The sequence below is a fragment of the Homo sapiens genome, chromosome X, assembly GCF_000001405.40.
Source record: "Homo sapiens chromosome X, GRCh38.p14 Primary Assembly".
Classification (NCBI taxonomy): Eukaryota; Metazoa; Chordata; class Mammalia; order Primates; family Hominidae; genus Homo; species Homo sapiens.
The window spans coordinates 69,277,434-69,296,878 of NC_000023.11; the positions used below are offsets into that span (position 1 = coordinate 69,277,434).

At 52.4% G+C, this 19,445-nt stretch overlaps 5 annotated features.

Annotated features, from left to right (window-relative positions):
- Nucleotides 3,075-3,257: a silencer, noted in NCBI's record as "fragment chrX:68500351-68500533 (GRCh37/hg19 assembly coordinates)". NCBI's record gives its function as "represses an EF-1alpha promoter that drives an FKBP-Casp9 reporter gene in an ReSE screen in phorbol 12-myristate 13-acetate-treated (for megakaryocytic differentiation) K562 erythroleukemia cells {active_cell/tissue: K562(+PMA)}" and the evidence as "EXISTENCE:reporter gene assay evidence [ECO:0000049][PMID:32094911]".
- Nucleotides 8,565-9,546: an enhancer, noted in NCBI's record as "H3K4me1 hESC enhancer chrX:68505841-68506822 (GRCh37/hg19 assembly coordinates)". NCBI's record gives its function as "activates a minimal SCP1, AML or CMV promoter by ChIP-STARR-seq in naive H9 embryonic stem cells {active_cell/tissue: H9 hESC(naive)}" and the evidence as "EXISTENCE:reporter gene assay evidence [ECO:0000049][PMID:30033119]".
- Nucleotides 12,534-13,425: an enhancer, noted in NCBI's record as "NANOG-H3K4me1 hESC enhancer chrX:68509810-68510701 (GRCh37/hg19 assembly coordinates)". NCBI's record gives its function as "activates a minimal SCP1, AML or CMV promoter by ChIP-STARR-seq in naive H9 embryonic stem cells {active_cell/tissue: H9 hESC(naive)}" and the evidence as "EXISTENCE:reporter gene assay evidence [ECO:0000049][PMID:30033119]".
- Nucleotides 16,034-16,534: an enhancer, noted in NCBI's record as "H3K4me1 hESC enhancer chrX:68513310-68513810 (GRCh37/hg19 assembly coordinates)". NCBI's record gives its function as "activates a minimal SCP1, AML or CMV promoter by ChIP-STARR-seq in primed H9 embryonic stem cells {active_cell/tissue: H9 hESC(primed)}" and the evidence as "EXISTENCE:reporter gene assay evidence [ECO:0000049][PMID:30033119]".
- Nucleotides 16,535-17,035: an enhancer, noted in NCBI's record as "H3K4me1 hESC enhancer chrX:68513811-68514311 (GRCh37/hg19 assembly coordinates)". NCBI's record gives its function as "activates a minimal SCP1, AML or CMV promoter by ChIP-STARR-seq in primed H9 embryonic stem cells {active_cell/tissue: H9 hESC(primed)}" and the evidence as "EXISTENCE:reporter gene assay evidence [ECO:0000049][PMID:30033119]".

Genomic DNA, 19,445 nt, shown 5'->3' on the forward strand with positions numbered 1-19,445 from the left:
TCCCTCTTATCTCTGTATGTGTCTGTTTCGCCTTCTAGAACCTCCTCTGGGGCAGGGCCTGTGCCTTGCTCACCTTTGTGTCCTAGCACCTAGCCTGGTGCACTGCACATCGTCAATATCAACAAGTGCTTGCTGACGAATGGAGTGTGAAATGGCATGGGGCAGGAGAGATGGCAAGGCTGGCCAGCCATGATGACCTGGAAGAAGCGGCCACGTTGGAACACTCCCTTGCGGGAGCAGAGGCTCCACAGAATGATGTCCATGCCCCTGGAGCTCAGAGAGAGAACTGTCCCGGTGAGGTACAACAATGGTGCTCCCTGCCAGTGGTGGCTGTGGAATGAGCACGGGGGGCTCTAGAGACTGGCCTGTCTAGTCCAGCTGGGCTCAGTGGGCCCCAGCCAGGCAGCAGCAGCAGCAACTTTGGGGATTTGTTGATTTGTAGAGCCTGCCTGCTGGAGGCAGGCTGTTTTTCCATAATCATCTTTTGTCTGGCTGAACAATAGAGGTGAGGGGGCAGCCAGGCAGGTGGGACATAGCTTGACAAGACCCAGGAAGAGGAGGGGAGGCTCCCACACTGCTTCTAGCCAGCTGCCCCACTGCAGGCCTCCCTTCCTAGCTCGGGCCCTCTGCCGCGGACCCCCAAAGGCTGCTGAGAATCATCAGGCCTGGGATAGGCTCAGCCTGGGACCCCGCCCCCAACCGGGGCTGGCTTTCATACCTCCCCACACACCTCTTTCGCTCAGAAGCTTCGAGGCTTTTGATAAATGTTGGCGCGGTTCAGCGCCCGAAGAAGGCAGGCCGCTCCTGGGAGGAGCCTGTCGACATTCGACACTGGGAGAAGGATGGCCCCACATGGGAGCAGGGTGGGGGTGGGGGCTGCAGCCCAATTCCCCACAGAACAAAAAGAGATTTCTCTCTCCCTTGCACCAGCTGCTGAGTCCCAGCCCCGGCTTGATCATTTTTCAAACTGCAGTAAATTAACATTTTCTGGAGCAGGAAAACCACACTGAGAGGCCTAAATACCAAATTTAGGGATGGCCTCAAGCCCCTTTGGGCCTGCTTCCCCTCCCCCCATTCTTGCTGGGGACTGGGGAGGACAGAGCCCCAAAGGAACAGCTTCTTCCATTTCACTCACACCTTTCCTGGGACTGGCTGAGGGCCCCTCCCCCGTTCCCTGCACACAGCCCTGCCTGTCACCTCCTCTTTGCTGACATTCCCTTCTCCACCTCTCCCACCCCATAGAATGTAGTGCAGGCGTGTTTATTCCCACTTGGCAGAGGCGAGCCGGAGGACCTGGGAAAGAGTGGGGGAGAAAGGGTCCAGTGAGAGTGCAGGGAGGGGTCCTGACGTTGGGCCCCTGAGGCACAAGTTAGAAGTCCTGATACCCCTGGTTTCCCAAACCTGAACTTGATTTATTTCCACTGAGTTGTGAAGCATACAGTTTAGATAGGACAAGGAAGCCCCCAGGCTCTCTGGATCATCTTCCTGTCTCTGCAGGGTGGGAGCTCCCCTATTCCAAGCCTTCAAGGGAAGACATTCCGGGAATAAAGTCTGCTGTGGGTATCTCTGCTTTTGTATCTCCTTGTTGAGATACAGAAGTGTTCGTTTATTCTGAGCAAGGCGGTTGCCCTTTGCTGTGTGCTTAGTATGTGTCAAGTAGCACGTTGGGTGCTTTCCAGGCATCATGTCATTGAAACCTCAGAGAATACTTCCAGGGAAGGGAAACAGAGGCAGACACTGAGGCTCAGAGAAGTGAAATGACTTTCCCAAGGTCCCACGTCAGAGGCAGGACTGCTGTCCAGGTCTATTGGGTGTCAGAGCAGTGCTCTCTTCTCCTGCCACTGTCCCGTCACCCTTCCCGCTCCTCTGTTCAGTGGGCCCAGCTGCCCATGGCGACCTTCCCCTGTTCCCTCTGTCTCTTCTGACTCAGGACTGCCCACAGAGGCTTGAACCAGCTGCACTGTCCTGTCACCAGCTGGGGCCTCAGCTCTAGCAGTGGGGAGCCAGGATCTTGGCCTCACAATGGACTGGGGGGGGGTGGCCACAGCTGGAAGCAGCTGGAAGGCAGGCCTTGTAGAAGGAAGTGCAATGGCACACACACACACACAGAGATACACAGAGACACACACACACAGACACACACACACTGGGGTTGGGTGGGTGCTCAGGGAAACCATTCCCTTTGCCTTTCCAGAGAGCAGAAGGAAAAAAAGGAGTCAGGCTGTGGCCTGAACCCTTGTGTAGCTCAAGCCCTGGGGCGCTTGGCTCTCTCAACATCAGAGGGCTATGAAGTCCCTCAAAATCTGGCACCCATCTACCTTTTGGAACTTATTTCCTGCCCCTTCTCTTTATACTCTCTGGTTCAACCAAACTCAACATTCCTCCTCTGTGCCTTCCCTCATGCTGTTCCTGCTGCCTGGATACCTGCCCTCCTCACTTCCCCGTATGCAAATTCTATCCATCAGCTAGGGCCCAGGTCAACAGCCACTTCCCGCAGGAAGCCTTCTTGGTCCTCCTCACCTCGATACCTCCCTCTTCTCTGCCCCAACCTGAAAGAAATTCTTCCCTCCTCGGCACTTCCTCTCTTAAGGCATTAGCTACTTTCTCCCTGGAATTTGAATCATCTGGATCTGCCTCTTAGACTCCTTCTAGACCAGGAGTTCTCCGAGGGAGGAGCTTGGTCAGATTCATCTCTGTATTTTCTAGCACCTTGCTTGAGATTTCTCTGAAATGTATTGTCTACCGCATACCTCACACGGGAGGGTGGCATAGTGTAGTGGGAAAAACAAGGCTTTGGAGTCAGAGGCACCTAGGGTTAAATCCCTGCCCTGCTTCTTTCCAGCTGGTGCCCTTGAACCAGTTACCTTCCCACTGAGGCTTGATTTTCCTCAGCTCTTGTAAGATAAAAATAATAATTGCTGGCTGGGCGCGGTGGCTCACGCCTGTAATCCAAGCACTTTGGGAGGCTGAGGCAGGCAGATCACAAAGTCAAGAGATCAAGACCATCCTGGCCAGCATAGTGAAACCCCATCTCTACTAAAAATACAAAAATTAGCTGGTCGTGGTGGCGCGCGCCTGTAGTCCCAGCTACTCAGAAGGCTGAGGCAGGAGAATCACTTGAACCCGGGAGGCGGAGGTTGCAGTGAGCTGAGATCACGCCACAGCACTCCAGCCTGGTGACAGAGTAAGGCTCCATCTCAAAAAAAATTGCTACTACCCAGGGTTATGGTCAATATTAAATGTGGAACTAAAAAATAAAGCACCTCCTAAAATATGTGGCACATTTTTGTGTTCAATAGATTATTTGCTCATTACTTCTCCCTTTAACAGGGTCTGAGAAATGAATGAATAAATGAATGAATGAATGAGGAGATGAATTAATGTTGTGCCATCCAGCCGGCTGTAGCCTGAGGTGCTGGGCCACTTCTGGTCTGGCTGTCCTCTCCTCCAGGCAGACCCACCCACCAGCCCACACCCCTCCATTCTGTTCCCAGCCACCCCGGGCCCACAGTTTACATGCTGAAATTCCCAGAAGCCAAGACTTCCAAACAAACCCCCCAAGTTTGGATTTATCAGCCATGCTATTAAAACAGTAATTTTCAGCTGCCTAATGTTTCCAACTTCTGCTCTAATCCAGCGGGTAAATATTTACAGAGCCTGACACCACTCCTAGGCCACTTGCTCTGCTGCCAAACATTCATTTCCCTTGTAGCTCCACTGGTTTGATATTTTTAGGAGCGGGGGAGGATGGAGGGACGTGTGTGTGTGCATGTGTGTGTGTCTCTGTGTGTGTGTGCACACATGCATGCCTGCATGTGTGTGTAAGGGGTGGGAGAGAGGCTGTCTTTCTCATGGTGAGTTCCTGGATGGGGAGAGACACAGGGTAACATAGTCCTTTATACTTCCTTCACCCTGATCTCCCCTACTGGGGGCAGAGGGGAATGGGTATGGTGCAGTGTGTACAGATCCTCAGGCATCCCCTTCCTTGGCCTCCCTCAACCCTTTCACCTTCCCACCACACACACAGTCACACATGCACACACACAGCTAGCCAGCACAAATCTCCATACAGGCTAACCATAGAGACAGCAGAGAAGCCTCGGGGAGCACATGCAGGCACTGGAGGCCTACAGACTTAGGGGCCTGCCTCAATTCTGCCATTTGCCAGATGGGTGGCCGTGACTATGTCCGTCCCCAACTCTGAGTCTGTTTCCTCATCTGTGAAATGCAGGTAAGAATGCCCAGCCCCATGGTGAGATAAGTTGGCGAGCACCAAGCACAGTTATGCTAGGTGCCCTGTAAAAAGTGCTCCCCTCTTGCCTCCTCACCCTTTAGAAAGAAGATAGGAAGCATGCCCTCCAACCCACCAATGCCCCGGTCCTGCTGGAGTGCTGATCACTTGTCAGAACTTCCATGCCCTTGCCTGTGCTCTTCCTTCTGTCTGAAATATTCCCTGAGCCCCGGGAAAGTTCTCAGCATCTTTTCTTAAGACTCAGAACACATGGCTACCTCCTCTGAGAAGTATTCCCTCATGGCCCTAAGAGAATCTCACTCTGTCTCTCTCTCTGTCTTTCTCTTTGATTAAGCATTCTTAGTGAATGAAGCCTGAGTCATATTCATCTCCATGGCCTCAGCATCTAGCACAGAACTAGACAAGGTACTCAAAGAATATTTGTTGTGCATGTGCATATTTGTTTAATATTTATGGATTGGTTGGAAGAGGGGAAGGAGCAAAGGATGGCTTTTAGCTTGAGCTATCTGAGACACTTTATCCCCCTCACAGGGAGAACAAAAGGAAGAGAGAATGGGACCAACATTTATGGAATGCTCCTTGCAGGCAGGGATCTTGTCTGTCTTGTTCCTGTTGCAACCCCAGCATTTAGAATGGTGTCATGACATTTAATGAGCTCCACTCTGTGCCAAGCAGTAAATACTTTACGTGGATTAACTTACTTAACCCTTATAACAGCCCTATGAGGTAGGTGCCTTATTGTAGAGATGGGGGTCACTGGAGCACAGAGAGGTTAAGTCATTCAACCAGGGTCACACAGATAAGAAAAGGCAGAACTGGATTTTGAACTCAGGCAGTCTGGCTTCAGAGCCTGCACTGTTACTACACTATCCTATCTCTCTTCGTAGATACTCGAGGAATATTTGTTGAATGAATAAATGAATGAATGTTTACCATGTGAATGGCTGTACATGGCACAGTTATATATATTTTTATAGACTCCTCACAGCAGCCTTTCCTTGCAGGGTAGGTGCAATCATCTCCATTGTTCAGATGAAGAAACTGAGGCTCAGAGATGTAAAGTAGCTTGTCCCGGGTCACACAGCTAGGAAGCAGCCAGGCCAGCTTGCCTCTGGTGTCCTGTCCGGCTGGAAGCCACAGGAAGAAATCCAAAGGGTGCTTTATTCTCATCCTTTAGTGCACAGAAGGGAGCAGGACTTCTGAACACAGAGGTTTCAGCACCCCAAGAGGCCAAGCTGGAAATGATCATAGATATCATCCATCCCACCCTTTCAGATTGAAGATGAGGAGCTGGGCCCAGAAAGATTAGTAGTTTGCCCAAGGCCATATAGCAACTAAGCCAGTATACCTGAGCCTGCACAGTGCCCCTCCTCTCCTCATCTCTCTCAGGTCTCCCCAGGCCACCCAGGGATCATAGTCCAGCTGGCCCGGCCATGAATCTATTTCCCCATGGGATTGGCTTCTGCTAGCTGGAAACTGAGAGGGGTGTAATGAGGAGGAAAGAGTCCAGCAGGGAGAAAATGGGTTGCTTCGGGGAAGAATTCCAAACAGATTGAGCTACAATGGAGCCCCTGTTATTAGTAGTTGTAGTATCATAAGGATGCCTGAAATGTTGGTGGCGATGATGGTGATGATGATAACGTTCACGGGAGGGGGATAAGGAGAATGAGGATTTGGCATCATGGCTTAGCAGGTTCCTCTCTTCCCCTCCTAGACCAGGATTTGCTCGACCCACTCTAAAGAAAGGACAGCCCAAGTAGGGCCACGCGGATGGCTGCGTAGGCTGAGCCCTGCTCAAGAGTGCCGGCTGCAGGTGACCAGTGGGAGCTAAAATTCAACCCCAGCTCCTTGCACCAACCCATGTACCTTGCCCAGAGGAAAAGATGGCTTTTTCTAATTGCACAGGTTCCATGTATGTTAGGAGTGGCCTTGAGATGAAGCACACAGGAGCATGTATTGGGGATGGGGCAGGGACCAAATGCCACAGGTCATCTTTCCTGGCCAGGCCAACATCCTGGAGCCAAACAGCTGTAACCCTGAATCTGTCCCATTACTTGCTCCCTTGTGATTTGACCTTGAACCAATCACTTTACCTCTCTGAGCCTCAGTTTCCTCATCTGGAGAATGGGGCAGTGTTCGGAGAGTTAAATCAGATAGACAACGTGTTGAACAGAGTCTGGCCCAGAACAGGTGATGAAAACAAAATGAATTCCCTCCTGCATCCCCTTCCCTCTTTCTCCAGGCACTAAATATTTGTTCTATTTTTGTTTGGGGCCCAAGCCCCTCCCAGGCCCCACCCTCACCTGCCTAGGTATCAGGGATTAGAAAACAAAAATTGGCCCTAGGACCTCCAGAGATCCAGAGCACCAATGAAGGACCTCTTAGGCAGTTTCTCCTGAGCATTTGTAGCCAAGACCTAAATATCTGGGCCAGTAATGCCCTGCCTGGCTGTCTGGGAGGCTCCCTTTGGGAATTAAGGAGGCTGCAAGATCCCTGGGTCTTTCCCCTGCCCATCTGCTCCCCCTCCCCAAGGCTGCTGAGAGGCTGAGGTGATGGATGGGGCTCTGACTTCCCCTCACCACTTCTTTGATGAGAAGAAAGAAAAGTCCACCTGAGTCTCAAATCAAAAACAGGTGAATTGCCTCTAAGTCAGGCTGGGCCCTCTCTGGGGTCTACAGGAAGGTTGGGGGCTGAGGGGAGAAAGGGAGAATGTGATAAATCACACTGTCAGGTGGGGGTGCTACCCTCCAGCTGCAACAAGGACCACTGGCAGCTCCAGAGCTGCCTCCTCCGAGGATGGGTGTGTGCCCAGAACAAGAGCTGGGGAACAGGCAATCATCCCTAACGACTCCCACCTCCCATCCTGCCCCCAGTTCTGTCATGCACACATACAACTTCCTTCACATCACCAATCCCCCAAAGCACGTGCCAGGTGGCAACACCACCTCACCTGCGTTCTTATATCCCCAGCATGCTCACAGCTGGGAGGCGCGAGCCTCGGGGCCTGGTCTCAGCTCGCCACCACCTTGCTGCATGTACCTGGGCAAGTCTTTGCCCCTCTCTGGACCGCAGTTTCCTGATTCATCCCACAAGGGGCTAAGTTCTTTTGGAAGCTAAGAGGTGAAAGGCAGGCAATGGCCCTTGGGTGTGTACCCTGGGGTAGAGCTGGAGGGTGGAGTGAGGACCACAGTGGTCCCATATATTGGTGTTTGACTTATCTCTGCCCCAGACCTCTTCCAGCACTGACATTCTACAATTCCAGGCACCAAGAGCTGCCCAGATCCTCAGAGTCAGGGAGCAACTATGCCAGACAGATTCCCCAACATGCTGACATCAGGGCCCACACCCAACCCCAGTCCCTCTTCCAGTGCAACTCACAGACACAGACAGACTCCTCTCTGTCACACCAGTGGCCCCTAGCATTTTAAAGGGGGCCATGGGGACAGAGGGTGAATCTGGGAGAAGCCATGCTCAGGCCTCCTGGGATTGACAGTCACCACTGAAAAATGAAAAAAATAGAGGACGGACTGGGAGAGTCCTCAGATATCTACCTCTCCATTGTCTTCAGGGGCAAACTGAAGCCCAGGGAGAGGATGGGAAAGGTCACACGGCCAGGGCCAGAGGTCAGAGCCGGAGCTGGGATCAGGCCCCAGGTCTCTGGATTCTCAATCTCCCTCCCCTCCAGAAAAGGCTGCACTTGCTAAGAGGACTGGAGGGTTTCTGACCCACAGCTGCCTCCACTCCCAGATTCCAGCAGCGCTGGATGTTCCCTCCCTCACTCCCTGTCTCAACCCGCAAAACCTGGGAGCGAGCCCACAGCCCTGGGAAGAGGCAGGGCCAAGGCCCACTCCACCCTAACATCCCGACTCCTCCAGGGAGAGGCCGCCCGAGCCAGGGCAGAGGGAAAGGAGAGGGAAAGCAGAAGAGAATGGAGAAGGGGGAAGGAGGAGGGGAGAGAAGAGAAGGGAGAAGAGAGGAGGACAAGGGGAGAGGAGCAGGAGGGGGGAGAGAGAAGCGGGGAGTGAAAGCTGAAAGCTGATAAGGAAGAAAGGAGGGGAAAGGTCCGAGGAGAGGAGATGGAACGTGGGCTCTGAGAAGGGAGAAGGCTGACCAGGCGGGGAGTGGAGGGAGGGCAGGTAGGAGAGATACACCCAAAAAAGGGACAAGCTGAAGACAAGAGCAAGGGAAAGGGGTGGGCAGAGGGGCAGGGAAGAGGGCTTCAGCCCAGGGGACTCCCCTCCCCACGTTTCACGGACCTCCCCCAGGGGCAGTGGGGGCGAATTGAAAATGAAACACCTCGTCCCCGGGCCCAGGGATGTGACCCTCGGCATAAGAGGATTAGGGAGGCTTCCAAGAGGAAATGGGGAGGGTGCCAGGAGTGGGGGAGCCGAATGCAAACTCCTGCTGCCCCCGCACCCCCCCCGCCAACGCCGGCAGAAAGTGCGCGCCTCCACGCCCATTGGAGCCATGGAGCGCCAGTGCCCCCTTGTGGCCATGGCCCTTGGCTCACCCGGCCGCAGCGGCGGTCTAGAAAACTGGGGGAAAGGGTGCACGGGGTGGACCTTTGGACACCTGAAGGGTACGAGTGCGACGAAAATCCAGGGGGTGGGTCAGTGACTTTGCTGGAGGCCTCCAAACCCTTCAAGCATCAGTAAAGACCTCAATAGTGAGCCTGGGCGTTTCTCGTTGGCCTCTCCCACCCTTGCAAGGGTGGCTCACAAGGCATGGGCTGGAGGCTCTAAGGCACAAAAAAACCAGCGCACATCCACGCCTCCGAATGCCACGCTCACCCCAGCGGCACAGTTTCCGTCCTTATCCTGGCCTCTGCCTCTCATCAGCCTCTGGGTGCCTCCCACTTCACTCCCAAGGGCCTGCTTCCCTAGGCCATAGCGCACAGCCTGTGTTTGTGTGTGCGTGTGTGTGTGCGGCGGAGTGTAGAGGTTCTTGTCCACAGTGAGGGGTGGAACTGAGCTGGATAAGACACTTACCGGGAAGAGTCAAGAACCCTGGGTTCCAACTTGCTTCCATGGCTGTCTTGCTGTGCAACTTTGAGCATGTCTTTGCCCTCTCTGGGCCTCAGGCTCCCCATCTGGAAGCAAAAGACTTGGCCTCAATGATTTCTAAGGGTCTATCCAGCCCTCTACACTCTATCTCTATCTCTAACACTCTAACTCTATCATTCCAAAAGAGAGAGCTTGAGGAAGAAACTAGTCCAACGCAAGGGAGAATTAGTAAGTACTCCATTGTCGTGTGGAGAAGGGGTTTGCAACTATAATCAGGTGGACATCCCACCCAGCCCTTGGCCCCAACTCCTCCTCCAGTGCCCTCAGCAATACTTCTGCCCCAGATCTGCACAGAGACGCCTGTGGGTTTCAAACTCAGGCCCGCTCAGTGGGACTGGGGTAACTTCTTCCACGCCAGAGGTCCAGGGCAAGAGGCCAGCCGCCCTCCTCAGTCCCTCACCATGACAGGGGGTGCAGAACTCCTTATGTGTCCATTCAAAGCCCAGAGCCCCAGAGTGGATGGAAAGTGCAAGGTCAGCAAGATCTCTTCTCTTCAGTGAGCCCAGCTCAAGGCAGGAGACTCAGCCTGGAAATGGAGAAACCTGAGCCTGGCTCAGCTCCCCCAGAGAGGAGGGGAGGGAGGGGAGGAAGCACAGGGAGGTGAAGGGCACCTCAAGGAGGCAGCCTGTCTCAGGCAGGAGATACCTTGCCCAGTGCTGAGAAAGCCATGAAGGAGAACGAAGCCCTGAAAGGTGTGGGGTGGAGGAGGCAGGGTCACCCAGCTAGGGAAATGAACCAGAAAGAAGGCAAAGAGTGTCTTTGGTTTGAGTCAGTTAGGTGCTTGAGTCTGTCAGTTATTTTTTCTCTGCCTCAATTTCCTCATCTGCAAAATGGGGGTAATAGTATTCACATCACTGAGCTGTTGTGAGGATTACATGAGTTAACATTTGTAAAAAGCACTTAGAACATTCCCTGGTACCTAGTCCGTAATTTTGTTTTATTTCTATTTTTAACCCCCAGGAAATCCCGTCCCAGAGCATACAGTCTGAGGAATCCTGGAATGCTCTAAGACCCTTATACTTAAAGACTTAAAAGAATTGATCAGGGCCGGGCACGGTGGCTCACGCCTGTAATGCCAGCACTTTGGGAGGCCGAGGCAGTTGGATTGCTTGGGGCCAGAGTTGGAGACCAGCCTGGGCAACATGGTGAAACCCTATCTCTACAAAAAATACAAAAAAATTAGCCGAGTGTGGTGGTGCATGCCTGTGGTCCCAGCTGCTCAGGAGGCTGAGGTGGGAGGATCACCTGGGCCCAGGAGGTGGAGGCTGCAGTGAGCTGTGATCACCCACTGCACTCCCGTCTGGGACAGGAGTGAGACCCTGTCAAAAAAAAAAAAAAAAAAGAGAGAAAGAAAAGAAAGAAAGAACAGCTGAGCGTGGTGGCTCATGCCTGTAATCCCAGCACTTTGGGAGGCCGAGGCGGGCGGATCACAAGGTCAGGAAATCAAGACCATCCTGGCTAACATGGTGAAACCCCGTTTCTACTAAAAATAGAAAAAATTAGCCGGGCATGGTGGCGGGCACCTGTGGTCCCAGCTACTCGGGAGGCTGAGTCAGGAGAATGGCATGAACCCGGGAGGCGGAGCTTGCAGTGAGCCGAGATAGCGCCACTGCACTCTAGCCTGGGCAACAGAGCAGACTCTGTCTCAAAAAAAAAAAAAAAGAAAGAAAAAAAGAAAAGAAAAGAAAGAAAGAGAGAGAGAAAGAAAAGAAAAGAAAGAATTGATCAGGTTCAAATTTCACTCCTCAGCTCCCTGCTACCCATTATGAATACAAATAGGTCAATCTAAGCTCACAGACTGAAAAAGACTTACCTAAGATCACACAGCAAATTGTGGCTCAGTTGAGGTTTCTTCACTGCCAGGCCTGAACCTCACTGTTTGTCCTTCCCTAGACTGGTGTCCTTTGGTATCTCTGCTTGCCAGCTCTGACCCTAAATCTTAGATGGGATCTCAGCAAGTGTCCCAGTGGCTGGACCACAGCTCTGAGACTGGGAGGCTCTCTTTCGGTTTGTTGAAGGTCCTGTCTGGCAGTTAGTTCATCTCTTCACTCCTGTGTCCCTTGGAACCAGTTTTTCCAGCTGAAAGGAACCTTGGAGGTCAGCTGGTCCCCAAGCTTCCCCTTTCATCTGCCATCTGCCATCACTAGAGACCTCCATCACCATCTTTTTCCATCTCTGTACCCTCTGACCCCCTCCTTCAAACTCCCTGCCCCTGACTCTGCCCCGTCCTGCAGGTCTTTAACTCCAAATAACCTAGACCCTCCCTGGCCTCTTGTCGTATTTCCCTGGGGGCCAGCTGTGTCTGGTTGAAGAGCTTGCTCAGCCTGGTGATTAACATCAAACAGGACAACCAGGGAAACAGAGTCATCAGTCCTATTCAGCTCAGCAGCCAGCTGGCCCTCCTGCCTTGCCACCACCCCACCAGGCTGGCCGCTATGCCAGGTTTTGCCTTTTCTCAGTTTCTGCTTGGAGCGGCCAAGCGTAACAAGCCCAACTGCCCTGCCCAGGAGAGGGTAGTGTCCAGAGACTCAGGCAGGACTCCAGGCCTACGGAGAAGGTGACCATGGGCCACCACCAGCAGGGCTGAGGAGGTGGAGGAGCTCTCTCATCCTTCCAGCACTGCCCCCTCCCTCCCTGCAGCCCAGCTTGGGCTGGGCTATTCCCTAGCGCCTGGGCTAGACCTGTTTCCAATGATTCACGTCTATGCATTCCCACCTCGCCCCTGGGAGCCAGCTCTGCACTCTTAATAGATCTTACGGTTAAGAAGTTTTTTCCTGCTACTCAGCGTTAGTGCTTAAAGTGCAGTTACACTCTGAAAATTGACCATAAAATGACACCATGGGGTCCACATTTATCCTCCAGTCACAATTCCAGACCAGCTTGGTTCAGTTTTCAGGTTGAAAAATGGCTTTTGGGGGCTTCAAACTCCACCCAAGTCCTAAATCTGCCTCAGTGCTTCCCCCTCAGTGGCGCCTCCCTCCCCCAGGCTGGGGGAGAGGCAGGCCCTTGGACTGCTGAGGTGGCGAGCCAGGCCCAGCTCAGCTTGGACCATTTCCTGCCACAGTTGGGTGGAGGTGGGGGCAGCTGTGGGAGTGTGAGGGACTTGGCCTGGACATAGGCAGAGATGGGCCCAGCCTACCCAAGCTCTGGGGCCTTGAATGAGCCCCCATGCTGTGAGGGACACTGGAATGAGTCCCCCTTCCATCCCTGCTCTCCTGGCAGGGCGAGGGCCAAGGCTGAGAGAGGGAGCTTCCTCAGCCCAGAATCTCTGCAGAGCCTCTGGGAGGCAGGGTGGGAAAGGGAGGGATACTGGAGGTCTTCAGATGCCCCCCCTGCCCATTATTATGCCTTGAGGCAGGGGCAACCCTCTGTTCAATCGCTCTTGTTTGCTCAGCAAATGTGGCAATTCTCTTATCTTGGGTGTGCTACTCCTCAACTGTTTGGCCAGTCAGTTTAGGGCTAAGGGCTGGATTCACACTTGCTCTGGCCTTGAGATCACCCCTGGTGCAAGTCAGAATAAGGAGGCACCTGGCAGTATAAATGTGGGGGCCACGGGCTTTAGGTCTGAGCGCTGTGAGCTGCTGGCTCCTCAGGTTATCGGCTGCCGCTGCCGCCAAGTGCCTACACTAAAGCACAGGCAGGTTACCTGTAGGAGGACCCTCCTTAGTGTTTTTCCCTCCTGTTTACTCGAACAAGGCCTGGTTATCTGGTTCCCAAGTCTACAGCAAATTAGAAGCAGTAAATCAGAAGGAGGGCAGAGGGGCTGCTGGAAGCAGGCACACTAAAAGTGTCAAGAAGTGAGAGCTGATGGCCTGACAGCAGGGGAGTAGGCAGCAAACTAGTAAAACACAAAACAACCCCAACCAGGTACAAGAGCTCAAAGAAGACAAACAAGCTGGGGCCATTTAGCCTAGCGGGGACACCCTGGGGGAGAGCGCCACAGCACAGTGCTGATAATGGTGGGCTATTAATGAGGAGGACCCCAAATCTTTAGAAAGAAGAGTCCAGGAAGATGAGGAAGATATTTCCTAAACACGTATGTCAAAAATGAGTGATCTTGGGCCGGGTGTGGTGGCTCATGCCTGTAATCCCAGAACTTTGGGAGACCGAGGCAGGCAGATCGCCTGAGGTTGGGAGTTCAAGACCAGCCTGACCAACATGGAGAAACCCCATCTCTACTAAAGATCCAGAATTTTCCAGGCAAGGTGGCACATGCCTGTAATCCCAGCTACTCAGGAGGCTGAGGCAGAAGAATCACTTGAACCCGGGAGGCAGAGGTTGCGTTGAGCTGAGATTGCACCATTGAACTCCAGCCTAGGCAACAAGAGCGAAACTCCGTCTCAAAGAAGAAAAAAGAGTGATTTTTTTCGGGGGGAGGGTTTTTTGAGGTGGGCACTCACTGGAATAAAATCTCAGCTTTCAGGCAAATTCTAAAGTCCAGAGTGCCTCATTCCTCAAACCCTCCCCACCCTACAGAGCTGAAGTCAGCTGGGTGACCCATTCCAAGAGCCAGTGCACAGAGAGGCATGCCTGCCTGCTTTGGAGCCAGTCCTGAGTTCAGCCCCAGCTCCACCGCTTGCTGTCCATGGGACTCTTGACAAGTCACGTTACCTCAGCTATTTCCTCTGTAAAATGTTGGCAAGAATACCTGCTTTGCATGGCTGGGAGGATTCAGTCAGTAAAATTAAAGCCCACATGTCCAGCCCCCAGTGCATAGTAGGGACTCACCTGGTGTTTTGTTTTTCTCCTTCGAGGAGGTCTCCTTCCAGAGGTCAGAAAATTGTGGCCCAGCCTGTCTTTCCCAGCCCTCCCTTGTGATAGGATCTCAGCGGGCAGCAGCACTGGGGCTTCTGCTCTTAGCCTTTTTGGCAGGGACAATGGAGCTCGGAGGTGATACTGGCTTTGGGTGGGGCTATCTGCTGGCATGTGCCAGAAGATGGGGGAGAAGGAGGAGGAATCAGGGCTGTGGGAGCCAGGGGTTAAGGCTGTGGGGAAGAGGTCAAGAAGCCCCTTTTGCTTCTTCCTCTTCCTCTGGTCTCCACAGCCTTCCCTTGCAAGAGCATCTCCTCTAGCCTTCATGATGCCAGTCAAGAGCACCTGGAACTCGGGCTGGGCATGGTAGCCCATGCCTGTAATCCTAGCAGTTTGGGAGGCCAAGGCGGGTGGATCACTTGAGGCCAGGAGTTTGAGACCAACCTGGCCAAGATGGTGAAACCCCGTCTCTACTAAAAATACAAAAATTAGCCGTGTGTGGTGGTGTGCACCTGTAGTCCCAGCTACTGGGGTGGCTGAGGCAAGAGAATCGCTTGAACCAGGGAGGCAGAGTTGCAGCGAGCCACTGCACTCCAGCCTGGGTGACGGAGCGGGATGCCGTCTCAAAAAAAAAAAAAAAAAAAGCACCTGGAACTCAAGCCAGGAATAGTGAAGAGGGGCCCACCTCCTGGGGGACAGGTGCCAACAAATGTCATGGGAAAAGTACCTGTGGCACAAGCTAAGCTGGCCAGTGGCAGCATGGACCAGGCATAACCAGTGTCTGAAGACAGGCGGGTACACCTGGCACCTGCTGGCTGGGACACCAGTATTCCAGAGACATGTGGAACACAGTCCCTCTGCTCAGAGGCAAGCTTCAAACTTTCCCTCATTGTCTTTGGTGAACACCCTCCCCGCCGTGCCATGTAGGTGGGGCCGCAAAAGACAGGAAGGCTCCTGCTTGGGGAGAATGAGGGAGTAGGAGACACCTGGATCTATCTCATTCAAGAGAGAAAAGTGACATTTGAAGGACAGTGAAAAGAGCACTAGATTAAGCCAGTCTCATCCCATACCCAGACTGGTGCCATCTTTTGAGTTTCAGTTTCCCCAAAGAGCTTGGGCTTTGGGGACAGACAGACCTACTTCCTCGATGACTCTGGGCAGGTCATTTCTCCTTCATAAGCCTCAGTTTCCTCTTCTACTTCATGGGATTGCTGAAGAGAACCTGTGATTAAAAGGACTGGCCTGGCACAGTGGCTCATGCCTGTAATCCCAGCACTTTGGGAGGCCGAGGGAGGTGGATCACAACGTCAAGAGATCAAGACCATCCTGGCCAACACGGTGAAACCCCGTCTTTACTAAAAATACAGAAAAATTACCTGGGCGTGGTGGCACGTGCCTGTAGTCCCAGCTACTCAGGAGGCTGAGGCAGGAGGATTGCTTGAACCCGGGAGGCGGAGATTGCAGTGAGCTGAGATCGCACTACTGCACTCCAGCCTGGTGACAGAATGAGATTCCATCTCAAAAAAAGAACAAACAACAACAACAAAAGGACTAAGCCTGGTGTCTGGGGAGTACATACTAAATGGTGTATGTCTACACACTCCACTCCTCCGAGCACTTTTCATGAATTGACTCCTTTACTCCTCACAGCAATGCTGTGGACTAGGAATTGCTATAATGCTCATTTTAAGGACGGGGACACTGAGGTTCTGAGGGTGTAAGTGACTTTCCCTATGTTGCATAGCTAAGAAGCCACAGAAGCAGGATTCAAACCCAGGCATCATGACTCTAAAGCTTTTACCAATTATGCCATAATGAGGATTTTTTAAGCAAATGGATGCAAAAGTGCTTTGTCAACTGTAGGCTGCTAAACTCATGTGAGGGGAGGGTTGTGTTATTTAAAAATCATATCGGCCAGGTGCAGTGGTTCACGCCTGTAATCCCAGCCCTTTGGGAGGTCAAGGCTGGTAGATCACTTGAGGTCAGGAGTCTGAGAGCAGCCTGGGCAGCATGGTGAAACCCAGACTCTACTAAAAATACAAACAAGAAAAAAATTAGCCCGGCATGGTGGCGGGTGCCTGTAGTTCCAGCTACTTGGGAAACTGAGGTGAGAGGATCACTTGAACCCAGGAGGTGGAGGTTGCAGTTAGTCAAGATCACTCCACTGCACTCCAGCCTGGGCAACAGAGTGAGACTCCGTCTCAGTGAAAAAATTAATTAATTAATTAAAATAAAAATCATATTATCAGCTAGTCCCTGGAGACACGGTGGGCACGAGACTGTAGAATGAAAGGTCCCCCAGCCCTGCAGGTCTGGGTGGTCCCTACCAGGCCTCTTGTTTCCCTGGCTTCCAACAACCCATGTTCCTCTTGGCCTTGGCCTTCATGTGTGGAGCTTCTCTGCTGGCACCTGTCCCCTGGGACCTAAGCCTGTGGAGGGTGGCTCAGCACCCTGCTGCTGCCAGGAAAGGGACATCAAAGTGGCAGCATGAGGGTGAGATGGCTGCCTGCTTTGTTTTTAGAGGCTGTGGGTTTCATGGCACACACACAAGCATGCAAGGAAGGGGAGACAGACTGGCTGGCAGGCAGGCAGGTCAAGGAGCTGGTGGGCTAGGGAGTGGCTGGGAGGAGCAGTGTGGAAGGATGAGGGTGACAGCAAAATGTGGCAAAGGCCCAGAGGGAGGGAGGGAAGAGGTGGTATTGGTGTGGGTGGCTGGGAGGGTGTGTTCATTATGTCACTGCTGCTGGGCTTCTGGAGGGAAGCCCTGGGGAATGCTGCACGCCTAGCAGCAGGCTGCTAGAGGGTTGTGGGCTGCCATCGGTTGGTATTTCCTTCCTTCCTTCCTTCCTTCCTTCCTTCCTTCCTTCCTTCCTTCCTTCCTTCCTTCATGCATGTATGCATTCATTTCTACATTCATCCGACAACTACTCATTGAACCATCAAGTATGGAATCGTGGGTTTAGCAAAAGAGCTCTGGAGTCAGACTGCCTGTGTTGAATTCTGGCTGTACTTTTTATTGGCTGTGTGACCTGGAGCGAGCTACTCACCCACTGTGCCTCAGTGTCTGAATCTGTAAAGTGGGTATAATAATAGTACTTACCTCAGAGGATGGTTGTGAGGATTCGATGGGTTATTCCATGTAAAATTCTTAGGACAACGCCTGGCACATAGTAAGTGCTCAATAAACATTTGTTAAGTATGTTCCTGCTTGCATGCATGCATACACACATACACACACACACACACACACACACACACACACACACACACACACAAACAAACACATATGCACAGCCTTCCAGACCTTGTGTCAGGCACTAGGAGCACTAGGATAACAAGACAGACACAGTCCCTGCTCTCATGGAGCTGACTTTTAATCTTGAACTGATGCTATAGTGAAGCCCTTCCTGTCATTTCTAGAATCCTCCTAAGCAGACAGAAGTGGAACAATGTTTAAACTGGCACTGCTGGGCCCAGAATGCAGCCTCTGTCCCTCTCTGCTATGCATTCCTCAGTGGGTACAGGCCAGGCCTGACAGTTCTGCACTTTGGAGACCTTTCTCCACAGTCCTGAAAGGAACTAGCCCATGAGCTCAGGCAAATGGTGTGACCAGAGTGGACCTCATCATTAGCTGACTTCTAGGATATTTCCTAGATGGAAGAAATTAGTTACCCAAGAAAGTGGACCAGGAAAGAAAATCAAAATCTCTCTCTCTCTCTCTCTCTCTCTCTCTCTCTCTCTGTCTCTGTCTCTCACTTGATGTTCTTGGGCTTTCTGGATTAGCCCACACTGGTAGGCATGTCACTAGTGTGCCTACACACACCTCTGCATAGATATATGTAAGAACATGTGTGGGCACAGATGGACCCAGAGTGCCTGAGGAAAAATGTCCATGTAAAATGAAAGAACGGAGCAGGTAGAGGGTTGAGCTGAAGCCTGGACACCAGACCAGTGTGATGGGATTCAGTAGGTATGGCCTCTAGGGCCCAGAGGAACCTTGCTACCCCACCCATAGTGGCCACTCTGCCCCAGCTGAGGCATGGCCTCAGAACATCAAAGTGTGTCCCAGAGAGCAAGAGTACCCAGGAAGGGAAGGGTAAAAAAGAGGCATTAGGACAGAAAAGATTCTGTGCCGAACAAATATGGGAAAAGCCCAGTTAAACCAATGTAAATAGTTTTTTGGTTTCTGGTTTTCTACTGCAGGACTTCTCAGAGCCTTCAGTAAGCTATTGTACAAGCAAATTACTGAGGATGTGTGTGTTTCTGTGTGTCACAGTCTATTGTGTCTCCCAGATGAATTTAACCACAAAAGTATTTCTTTGCAGAATGGCTCCAGGCAAGTGTTCACTCTGGAGAATATAGCTTTGAGTTTTCTCCAAGCCCTGACCTCAGCCTTCTTCCATTGCCCTCACATACTAGAATCTTCTTGCCCAATTTCTGAAGTCCCAATGTAGAGGGTTGTTGGGGGTCACAGAACTTGCTGCCTGGCCTGTCACCTGCTTCTGCAGCCTGTTCTCTGTTCCCTCAGCCTCCATGCCCTCCCCACGCTTGTGGAATTCATCAGCGAAGTGTCAGAGGCTGGCCAACCAATTCCCCTTCAGAGCTTCCCACTGAGGCCAGCCCTGGAGGCAGAGTCTCCCTTCAGATCCCCTCAATGCCATCCACCTGATCCTGAGGTGGGTCAGCTAAGGTGGCGGCAGAGGGGCCCACCCCAGTGCCTGTGGGCCTGTGCTGTTCCACATGAAGGGGTTCCTGTTCATTACCACCCTAACTCATTAGAGCAGCACCAGGCCCAGGAGGATGAAGAAAGAGAGCTGTGCAAATTAATGAGCGACCAAATTAAACATGTTCCCTCAGCCAGCAAGAGGTTCCAGTTGATCAGCTGAGGACTAGGGATTTGAAAGTGGGAAGTCCCTGCCCCATGGGCCAGAGACCCTGAGGCAGCCATCTCTCACTGTTCCTTAAGGCAGCCCATCAGGAGCAGGGTTGCCAAATTTAGCAAACCAAAATACAGGGCACCCAATTACAATCTGAATTTCAATACTTGTACTGTTAGTACAAGTATATCCCATGCAATATTTGGGACATACTTATACGAAAAAATTATTCATTGCTTATCTCACATTCAAATTTAACTGAGGCCAGGCGCGGTGGCTCACGCCTGTAATCCTAGCACTTTGGGAGGCCGAGGCGGGCAGATCACCTGAGGTCGGGAGTTCTAGACCAGCCTGACCAACACAGAGAAACTCCATCTCTACTAAAAATACAAAATCAGCTGGGCGTGGTGGCGCATGCCTGTAATCCCAGCTGCTCGGGAGGCTGAGGCAGGAAAATCACTTGAACCCGGGAGGCAGAGGTTGTGTTGAGCCAAGATCGCA